The 11,344-nt window shown below is 47.7% G+C and overlaps 1 protein-coding gene across 3 annotated transcripts in view, besides 1 other annotated feature; it reads right to left on the reverse strand.

Annotated features, from left to right (window-relative positions):
- KLF15 (KLF transcription factor 15) overlaps positions 1-11,344 on the reverse strand; it is a 69,284-nt gene that overhangs the window by 12,419 nt on the left and 45,521 nt on the right. For all 3 annotated transcript variants that reach the window (XR_001740124.3, XR_924449.3, XR_002959509.2), the window contains exon 3: positions 136-860. The gene's annotated coding sequence lies outside the window, so the exon portion shown is untranslated. The remainder of the gene's footprint in view (positions 1-135; positions 861-11,344) is intronic.
- Positions 690-890: a silencer, noted in NCBI's record as "peak4813 fragment used in MPRA reporter construct". NCBI's record gives its function as "represses an SCP1 promoter by STARR-seq MPRAs in K562 erythroleukemia cells {active_cell/tissue: K562}" and the evidence as "EXISTENCE:reporter gene assay evidence [ECO:0000049][PMID:32103011]".

Here is an 11,344-nt window from a genome sequence, read left to right on the forward strand (position 1 = left end):
TGCTCACAATGTGCGGCTTTCCGGCTTCCCCTTTCCCCGTCCCCATGCTCTGTGGGCTCATCACTTGCAGTCCTCCTGCAACCAGAGCCCCAGGTTCTGAGCTCTGTGCTGCCCTCACCCCTGTGAAAGACCCACCTGGCTGAATGGCTGCAGCGACTTCCTCCACAGACCCTGAGCAGCGGCAGTGTGGAGGCTAGACCCAGCCTGCTGACCGGGGCAGGATCAATAGATGGATTAGTGGGGCCAGTGGGTCTTTGCTCTTCCAGAATTCCGAGCAGATACAAGTGCACCTGGTAGAGGAAGCACAAGGAACCATCCTCCATCCTTAATGCACGGAGGGTCCGCTGAACGTCAGGCCAGGGCAAGACTTGAGGGCAGGGAAGTGATCCAGGCCACACATCACTGGGTGCGAAAGGAGGACAAAGAGAGGGTCCAGGTGAAGGGGTGAAGGTCGCACACACAAACCTCACAAAGCCTCACGTTATGGACTGGGCTTTGCTGGAACATGGGAAGTTTCACTTCGCCTGCTGTGCCCCGGTTTCCGCATCTGTTTCTTCTGTGGCTAAATCAGTGAATGCTCTGGACCTCTGCTCTCCACACTCCAGAACTTTTCTTCCTGCCCCATCAAAATGTACCCATGCAGGGTTTCAGTCCTCAGGGCTTTCTGTGTAGCCGCCAGGGCCCATGAGCACAAGGTTTTGACACTGAGAGCAAAGCAGAACATCACGTGTTTCGCTTTCTCGCTAACAAGGAGTGAAGTCCAGGAATTCCAGACCTTGTTTTGCTAATTGTAGAGGCTCTCCAGATTGGACGGCTTCCCAGCTGCCCTCAAATCAGATCTGCTCTTCTGGCTGGCAGACCTAGGAGAGAGCAGAGAGGCAGACATTGAAGAAATAAAACAAGAAAACACACAAGAGCTGCAGAAAAATGAGCTTACAGAGCACTATAGGAATAATAAAACAGGACTCACACGCCGCCACGCACACTCTCTCACCCTCTCTGTTTTCTATTTCACTTATTTCCAGTCTAATCTTTATTACTTCTGCTTTCTTTCTTTTTTCTTTTTCTTTTTTTTTTTTTTTTTTTCTGAGACAGAGTTTCCCTGTTGTCGCCCAGGCTGGAGTGCAATGGCGCCTTCTCAGTTCACGGCAACCTCTGCCCCCGGGGTTCAAGCAATTCTCCTGCCTCAGCCTCCCGAGTAGCTGGGATTACAGGCGCCCGCCACCATGCCCGGCTAATTTTTGTTTTTTTAGTAGAGACGGGGTTTCACTATGTTGACCAGGCTGGTGTTGAACTCCTGACCTTAGGTGATCTACCGGCCTCAGCCTCCCAAAGTGCTGGGATTACAGGAGTGAGCCACCGTGCCCAGACCTGCTTTATTTAAACGTAATTTGCTTTTTTTTTTCCTAGTTTCTTAAGGTGAAAACTAAGGACATTGATTTGAGATCATTCCTCTTTTCCAATACAAGCATCAGTGCTATAAATTTTCTCTAAGTACTGCTTTAATAACATCTGCAAGTATTAATATGTCACATTTTGATTTTATTCAGTTCAAAAACCTTTACAATTTTAAAAAATATCTTCCTTTGCCCATGGGTTATTTAAAAGTGTGCTACTTACTTCTCAAATACTTGGGGGATTTCCAGGTTATCTTTTAGTTATTGATTTCTAATTTAATTCTGTTATAATATGAAAATAGACTTTATGTGACCTTGGATCCTTTAATATTTATTGGGACTGTTTTATGGCCCAGAATGTAGTCAGTCTTGGTAAATGTTCTTCATGCACTACAAAAGAATATGTATCTACTGTTATTGAATTGAGTGTTCTATAAATGTCCATTAGGGCAAGTTTGTTCATAGTGTTATTTAAGGCTTCTATATTGTGGCTGATTTTCTGTTTATTTCTTTTATCAGTTATCAATTATTGAGGTCAGAGTATTTAAATATTAGATTATGATTGTAGATTTATCTATTTGTCCTTGAAGTTCTATCACTTACTGGCTAGTGTATTTTGAGGTTCTGTTATTAGGTGCACAAATGTTTTAGATTGTTATTTTTCTTGATGAGTTGGCTCCATTAATAATGGTAATATGAAATTACCTGTTTTATTTCTGGTAATATTCTTTGCTCTGAAATTTACTTTGTCTGATATTGATATATAATAGCTACTACATATTTCTTTTGATGTGTGTTAGCATGGTATATCTTTTCCCATCCTCCTACTTCTTACTTATTTGTGACTTTATTTTTGAAATAGATTTCTTATAGTAGCATACACTTGAGTCTTGCTTTCTTATCCAATCTGGAAATCTCTGTCTTTTATCTGGAGTGTCATGACCATTTGCATTGAATGTATTTATTGATATAGCTAGGTTTAAATCTGCCATCTTGCTACTTGTTCTCTATTTGTCCTGTCTATTTATTTTTGTTTAATTGAGCATTTTTTTATTATTTCACTTTATCTCTTTTGTTGGCTTATATCTATAACTGTTATTTTAATGGTTGCTTTAGAATTTTTAGTAAACATCATTTATCACAGGTCACCTTCAAGTGATATTATGCCCCTTTATTTACATTAGCCTTTACATTAGCCAAAATACCTTGTTATTACTTTTGGTCCATCAATTAGCTTTTGGAAAGATTCAGATAATAAGAAAGAAGTATTAACATTTCCCACATAGTTACCATTTTCAGGGCTCTTCATCCTTTTTTATAAACTCATATTTTCATCTAGTATAATTTTCCTTCTGCCTGAAGGACTTCTGGTAGTATTTTTTTGGAGTGGTTCTGTTGGTAATTCTTTCAGCTATTGTTGAAAGTTTCTTTACTTTGCCTTTGTTTTTTGCTGAGTATAGAATTCTAGGTTAACAATCCTCCCCCATCCTCCACTCCTTCAGCATTTAGATGATATTCCACTGTTTTCTCATTTGTATTGTTTCTAACAAGAAATATGCTGTTATCCTTATCTTTGTCCCTCTGTATGTAATATGCCTTTTTCTATGGCTCATTTTAAGGTTTTTTTGAATTACTGGTTTTAAGCAATTTGATCATGATGTATCTTGGTGTCTTTTTCTTTATGTTTCTTGTGCTTAGGGTTTGTTGATATTCTTGCATCTGTAGATTAATTGTTTATATCATAGTTTGTCATTTTTTGGCCATTGTTTCTTTATATATCTTTTTTTTTAACTAAACTCTCTCTTGTTTGGGAATCCTAATTAAACATTTATTAGGTTTCTTGAAGTTTCCTCTGATGTACTGTTTATTTATTTTATATTTTTTATCTCTGTGTATCACCTTATATTATTTCTTTTGCTGTATCTTCAATTTCATTCATCTCTTTTTCTGCAACGTGTAATTTGCCATTAATTTCTCATCTCAGACATTGTAGTTTTTATCTGCAGAAGTTTGATTAGGTCTCTACTTGAGCTTTTATACATATAGAATGCAACTATAAATGTTTTAATGCCTTTGTCTGATAATTCTAACATCTGTGTCAGTTCTGATTTGCTTTTGATTGTTTGATTTTTCTTTAGTAACGGTCATATTTTTCTGTTTCTTTGTATGCCTGAAGATATTTTACTGGGTACCAGACATTGTGAATTTTACTATGTTTGTGCTGGCTTTGTATTTCTATAAATATTCTTAAATTTTGTTCTGGTACTCAGTTAAGTTATTGGGAAGCAGTTTGATCATTTCAAGTATCATCTTTCGGATTTGTTATCGATGCAAGACCATTGGTAGATAAATGCTGCTCTAATAAATCTGAAAGACAATACCTGAGTATGGTATCTAATGCTGTGTGAATTAAGAGGTTTCCTAGACTGGCTGGTGGAAACAGGCACTCTATGGACCTATATGAGCTGTATCAGCCCCAGGCATTGTTCCCTCTAATCTTTTCTAATGGTTCTTCTCCTAACCTCAGTTCGTTCCCTCACATACAAGCACTGACATGTTTACAGCTGATTACTTGAGGGAAACTCTCTGAAGATCTTCAGGGTTCTCTTCTTGTGTTTCTCTGGGTTTCTCCTCCCAGCACCTCCACCTGGAAATGCTCTCGAGGCAATAAGTTGGCTTTCCCTCATTCGATTTCATCATTCAGGAATCACTGTCCTTCACAGCTTGACATCTAAAGTTTTGAATGTAATTGTTTCTTGTATTTTGCCCAGGTTTGTTATTGCTTCATGCAGGAAGAATAATTAAGTCTCCACTTTCCCATGTTGGTTGGAAACGGAAATCTGAGAAATGCTTTTGAAATTCACCGAGTATGAGCTAGGAAAGCTATTGGCTGCAAGTAACAGACAATGTGACTAACTATATGTAAACCTTTTAATGTTTACTCATGCAACAGTCACCACTAGTCATTCCTTAACATATCAAATGTTAGTTGGGCACATGGATGTCCAAGTAGAGTCTACCTTTCTCAGTCCCGCAAGTAGTAAATGTGGTCAAGTGACTAAGTTCTGGTAGATGGAAGTGGTGCCTGCAACTTCCAGAGTGTGTTACAGAGAGAAGTCCTGCTTATCAACTCTCCTTTTCTCCATCTTGGTGGCTGGAGCCACGTGTGATGGCTGGGGCTTGAGCAACATCTTAGGCCACACGATGAAAGCTACATATTGAATCTGGTCCCTGAAATTTGTGGAGCCATGTTTTCATCTATGGCCTGGATTTCTATAAGAAATAAACTTATATTTTCTTTAACATCATCAGTTTAGGCTTTCTGTCACTCATGTCTGAACTTATTCTAACAAATAAACAAGAATCACAGAGGCAGATGAGTCTCCCAGTTGGCCCATTATGTAAGGGTGCTGTGAAGAACTCAGCTCCTTTCATGATTACGTTCTGACTTCCTTAGCCTGTTGACATTTTGCTCTCATGCTTGACAACTCAGGGTTTCAAATGGCTGCCACAAATCCAGCATCACATCCATGTTCAAAGGAAAATAGGAGGAAAAGAGTAGCCCTCTCCATTCTCATCTGGTGTCTGTCTCTTTTATCAAGGTAAAACAAAGCAAAATGAAACAAATGCCTTCCCAGAAGTCCCTTTCACATTTCATTACTCAGAGCTGGGCTATCTGGTCACACTTACTGCAAGGGAGACTGGGAAAGGAATGAGCTGCTTTTCTAGCCTCTGGTGTGGGAGGAAGGCAAGAGTGGAAGTTTTTGGAAGTAGCTGCTGGGTTGGGCAGCCAACATCTGCCCCACACAGTAGGGATTACAGCCATCTTAAAGGTGAAAGATTTGAAAAGCTGGATGTCTGACCACAAACCCTTTTCAGGGTGGGGTCTGGAAGGGAAAGAAGAAGGAAGAAGAGAGAAATGTTTTCTTTAGACTGTCTTTGTGATTCTCAAGCTTTGAGTGTGCAGGAGATTTACTGAATGGAGTTGTGTGGACAGGTCCAGAAGAATTGTGCTTGGCAAGTGGCTGAAGAGGCTCCTGCAAATCACTTTGACCACACAAGCTTCTTTCCTTCACTCACTGACTTGGAGGCTAACCCCTGAGGCAGAGGCAGCACTACAACTTCTTCTCCATGGAACTTCATCCCCATGGGGTCTCAGATGCTCAGTTTTCCGAAGGAACTTTCATCTCATGCATCGTACTGAGGAGACAAAAAGGCCTGGGAAGCTGGTTATTTTGGTATCAGAAGCACTCAGAGGTGCTCTGAGCACCTCTCACAGAGCACTTCTCTCTCCGCCCAGGGGTGGACTTTCCTTTGAAGGACTAAACACAGTTCTGGAGTCTTTACTCCCCTTGACAACTGGGGAAAAGAAAAGAAGCCTAAGGACAGAAGTCCTGGTGGATATCACTTCGAAATCACATGGAGAAAAAAACCACACTGTGTCAGCTGTTCCCCACCCCTAAGATTATTTACTCTAAGAAAATAAATGCGTAACCCAGATGTTGGCTGGTTGAACCTCACTCCATGCCTTGAAGAAGTCCAAAGGCCTCTGTGAGCTATCCGTGGGTCTGTGGTCTCAGGGCAACCTTGGCCTCTGACTTTGGCATGAAATGGCTGTTGTCTTTAACATACACATGCACACGTGAATACATACACACATGCACGTGCACACATGTTATACATATACGCATGCATGTGCACAAATAGGCACAAGTGCACAAACACATGTTCATGTGTGTATGGCCTATTCATATGAAGCCCTGTGTGCTGAAGCTTTGGGAGCGAGAGGCCCACTGGGAGGTTGTCTGCACTGCAGAATGACAGCGAGTTCCCCTGGTCTTCTGCTCAGCTGGTTAGAAAGCAGCCCTTTGGTCTCTTCCTCCATGGCTTCTTGCTAGGCCTTGGGCCTATGGCCCCAGCTGCAGCCTCCATCTCTGGCAATGGTGCCCCTTTCTCCACTCTCCCTCCACTCCACCCAAGCTGTCTCCTTGCCTTGCTTCAGGCAAGTTTCTCCTCTGCCAATTGCCACGTCCTTGAGTTCTGCTGGTACCACACCCTCAGGCCCCCCATACTCCAGGCTGCTCTTAACCAACTATCTTTCCAGTAAATGCTGCTTCCTCTCACAGAGCACTTCTGGTGATGTCACCTCCTTTACATACCCAAGGGAGACAGGCCCTTCTGAGCAGCACAGATCCAGCACCCCAAGCAGTACCCGTCAGCCTTCAGGCCCCACCACACACCGCCTGAGCAGCTGGGGCAGACGCTCCTTCCCCTCCCCCACTCCCAAAGGACTTGACCACCCAGCACCCTTCCTGGGTCACCGGGCTCCTCCATGTCCAGTGTGGCACTATCAGCCCTGCCCAGCCTCCAGCATGGGGCCTGAAATGGGCCACCATCCAGCGGGCTCACAGGGACTCCCTCTGGGAGGCGGACTGGGGACTCAGTGGATCCAGGAAGAGCTGGACCACAGGAGAGGACAAAGACTGTGCAACAGGGCTTGTGTCCATGAACAAAGGAGAGAAATGAGCGGGATGGTGGCTATGGGCAAGGTCCTAAGGGGAATTGTTAGAATGCAGTCTAAAAGAGGGTGCTAATGACCCCCGACACAGCCAGCGCTACAGCACCTTCCCTCTCCTCTCACTGCTGTGTGGGAGACTCAGCCACACTTGGGTTTTATTTGTTTCTTTGCTTGTGTTTGAGAAGTGGAACCAGCATTAAAGACCGGGATATTTCACATAAAGGTCAGGATTTCTAGCTGGTCTTTAAGAACCAGAACAGGTCATGTTGGGCCTCTGCTGCATGGTGACTATCCACTGGCTAAGGGGAGCCATCCCCTCGGCCTGGGCTGTGCGTCCCCAGCTGGCCAGAGCCCCCAGGCCCAGCGATTTCCTTTCCTGCTACCAGCTCTCCTCACTTAGTTCCCCCCAGGCCAGGCCACCCGAACTCCAGACCCTGGTGAGAACCTCCTTAGCCCCCCTTGTCTGGACTCCGTGTCTCCAGCCATGGGGGTTTGGCTGTGCCCGCAGCCCGGTGCTAAGCACAGGCTGGGTCTGGGTGGGAGCTGGGCAGAGAGCCAGCGTCCCAGCTACCAAGCTGGGTCCTTACCATGTGGGGAGGAGCGCCGTGGCCTGGCTGGGACGGGGGCACCTTCCTGGCCAGCTCGTTGCTCTAAGCAGGGTATTGATCTCCCTGAAGCAGACTCTGAGATGGACAGAGACATACAGGAAGCGCGCTGCCCTGGCAACCCACACTGCTGGAGGGCAGGCAGGAAGCGAATATCGGTGGAGGTACCGGTTGAGTCCAGCACAACCCTGATGCAGGCCTTGACCACCCCCAAGGAGCTGGAAAGCTGGCGGCCTTGCAGAATTGACCCAAGATGGGGAGGCAGGGCCGGCCTCACTCCCTGGTGTCCATCAGTCACTGGAAGGACATATGGCCTTGTTTGAGCCAGTTCTCTTCAGCCAAGGAAATCCCCCAAAGGCTACCCCAAGCCCTGCTGGCCGCCAGGGGACGACCACCTCATTCCAGCTGAGGGAGCTGCACGTCCCGGTGTCTGCCGCAGGCAGTGCTGACACAGAGCTGAGGGGAAATCCTCAAGTGCGACCCTGGCGCTCGGGGGTTCTGCCTGCCCTGGTTCTCTGTCTGTGGAAGTCATGGCTTGGTGTGGCTGGTATTAGGGCTCAGCGCGAAGGCCTCACAGGGGCATTTTCGGTGCAGCGGTTTAAGGGCTCTCTCCCGGGGAGTGGAGTGAGACTCCTACGTGGAAAGAAGTCTTTCTCCCCCATGATGAGGAAGCTCTGGGACCATTTCCCCAAAAACAGCAGCCTGAGCTCTCTCCGTGGGTTCTCCAAGCGGAAGGAGGACTTCATTCACATGCTGAGAAGTGTGCAGACAGAGAAGGACAGCACTGGCCTCACGGCAGGACAGCTCGGCAGGGAGGCTGGGCTCCAGGGAAGAAGCCAGAAGGAAGCCAAGCTGAGGTTGTGATCAGGGAGAGGGGATCGCTGGCCCAGGGTGAGGGCGGTGGCAGCTGGGGCATGTGGAAAGGGGAGAGAGAGAAAGGATGTGGCACCATAAGACTCACATCCTCCTCAGATGTGTGGAGAGCAGGCATCAAAGGTGAGACAACGCCAGTAATGGGCGCCACTGACTGGTCTAGGCAAGGCGTAGGCCTGAGGGACACCGTGACGTCAGGAGTCAATGAACTGCTTACATAAGGAATCTAGAACAAAACAATGCATGAAAGAACCTCTCTGAAGGGACAGGGAAATGGGGTTAGCTGAGTAACTCTGGACATGAGTGGAGCCTCTGAGAGGAAAGTGGAAGGACTGTACACAGCCCTGCGCTCTGGCCGGCGAAGCCACTTCTCCAGGTCAGCGCTGCTCATACCACAATGCGTGCATCCTGGAGCTGAGTGATTAATTAAGGAAGTGGGTGGCAGCCAGTGGGAGCAAGCTTCTCCCTGCTGCGGTGAGAGTCACAGATAAGCAAGGGGCAGAGCCCAGGATGACCCATGTGGCGACAGATTCGAGTTGGAGGTGTCAGTGGGAACCCACGTTTCTGCTTACCATAGGTGCAGATGGTTACATGCAGAAATGTCCCCAGAGGTGTTTATTAATCGGCGCACACATGTGTTTCTGTGCCTTGTTAGTTGAGAGGGCCTACAAGAAACGACACTCCCTAGCAAGGAGCACTGCTCATCCTGACCTTGGTGTCTAACACCGTTCCCCAAATAAAAGGAGATGGGTTCCTTAGGGAAATGGCTGGTTCTGGGACTAGGCAGAGAATGTACAAGATGATCCTGGTGCCTCTTGTAGCACCAGGCAGAGAATGTACAAGATGATCCTGGTGACTCTTATAGCACCAGAACGTCAGGAAGTGCTCAGAGAACAAAACCCCAGTGATAAGGGTGCCCAGGAGCCAACGGAGAGAGTGCTCAATGGCCAAGGCAGGAGCCATTTGAGCAACAAGGTATACAACGTGGTATGGGACTATAACCCTGAGCCCGTTTGTCCCGCAAAAATGGAACACCAAAGACTGGGCAGTTCATCAAGAACAGAAATGCATTTCTCCCAGGTTGGAAGGCCAAGGCCAAGGCACCGGCATTTGGCCTGGTGAGGGCTTCGTGCTGTACCCTCACACTGCAGAAGGCAGAGGGGCAAGCCTGACACCACCCCCTCCATCAGGCCTGTTTATGGGGGCACAGATCCCCTCCCAGCAGGAGCCCTCCTGGCCTAATCACCTTGTAAAGGCCTCACCTCTTAACACTGCACATTGGCAACACCTGAATTTTGGAGGCTCACATTTAAACCATAGCAAACCAGAAGTATAAAATACACATCACTGAGACCTGGGGCCCAAGCTCCAGGCAGCCCTTTTGCCCAGGCCTGGCTGCAGGCTATGGCCCCAGCTAGAAACTCAGGGAGGTTTCACTCCTGCTACCGAATGAATGTGACCCCAGCATTGGATAGCACAGATGGCCCGTGCACAATGTGGCGACATCACAGCCCCTACAAAGAGCCCCTACTAAGTTCACAGTGTCCTCAGAGCAGGGAGTCTTAGTTTGCTTAGGCTACCATAGCAAAATCAGAGAAGGGGGGGTGGGTGTAAACAACAGACGCTTATTTCCTCACGGCTCTGGAGGCTGGAAGTCCAAGAGCAAGATGCCGCAGGGTAGGTTTCTCCTGCAGCCTCTCTCCTTGGTTTGTAGATGCCACCTTCTCCCTGTGTCCTCACATGGTCTTCCATCTGTGTGTGTCTGTGTCCTAATCCCCTTTTTTAAGAAGTCTTAATGGATTAGGGCTCACCTCAATGACCTCATTTTACCCTAATCACCTCTGCAAGACCCTGTCTCCAAATAGAGTCCTTTTCTTAGGCATTGGAGGTTAGGACTTCAACACATGAATTTTGGGGGACACAATGCAGCTCACAATGGGGCTTCCACACACTCTCAAGCCCCGCTGTGGGCTAGTCCCTGAACCATCTCCACCCTGCTCTCTCTCACCTGCTCAGCTTCCCACTTGTCCATCGCCACCGCGGCCCACTCTGGAGGCTGGTTTCTGCCAGGCACATCCATGTACTTCACCAGCATCCTCAGGGTGAGGGCAGTGCAGGGTCCCAGGCTGGGGCTGGGGAGGGTCTTCCTGAAGGCCCAACTCTCCCTACACCACTGGGCCCCTGCAGCTCACCTGCCCAACATCTTCCAAGGTCCCTTCAAGGCACGTTGGCCACTTCCAGCCACCACAGCTGCTCTGGAATCTCATCCTCATCCAGAGACAGGCAAAAAGAAACTCCCCAAACTCCAGAAGCTAAAGTCCAGGCCAAGAATTTTTGGGCTGAGAAGTCCCAGGGCACTCTCTCCTCCTCTATTCTCTTCCCAAACCAAGCTCCTACTGTCCTTCAGGAGGGAGGCAAAGCTTCTGCTGTCTGGAAGCGGGTAGAAGTTGAATCCTGGAGGGGGCTGGAGGTGTTCACCTCGGGTGAACCCTCTGCACATAGGGTCATGGCAGCCCTTCCAGGTTTCTATCCTCTCCCATCAGTCCAACCCGGAGGTGGGAAAGGGGCTTGGGCTTGAGATGGGACAACCTGGCCTTCTCTGCCCTAGGCTAGGCACCTGGCTACAGAGTGAATTCCTCCCAGTTCCTCTGGAGCCAGCTCACTCACAAGCTACCCCTCAGATGGAAAACACCCCATCTCCTCTGGCACTTTCCTTCCCAGGCTGAGGACTTACATCCTCCAACCTTCACTAACTTCTGGGGAGGTCAGCCAGGTTCAAGGGCACTGGACAAGGCAAGAATGACATGACTGTATAGCTCCCCTCACCCCCTGAGCCGTCCTCTGCCCAGTGTTTGTCAAGCTTCCTTCCTGCCTCCTAAGAGATCGGGAGTGGGCCAGGAAGGCGGCCCTGCCCCAGCCCTGCTGCTATCAACTGGCTCAAAGGTGGGGAG

Source organism: Homo sapiens, chromosome 3 (assembly GCF_000001405.40).
Source record: "Homo sapiens chromosome 3, GRCh38.p14 Primary Assembly".
NCBI lineage: Eukaryota > Metazoa > Chordata > Mammalia > Primates > Hominidae > Homo > Homo sapiens.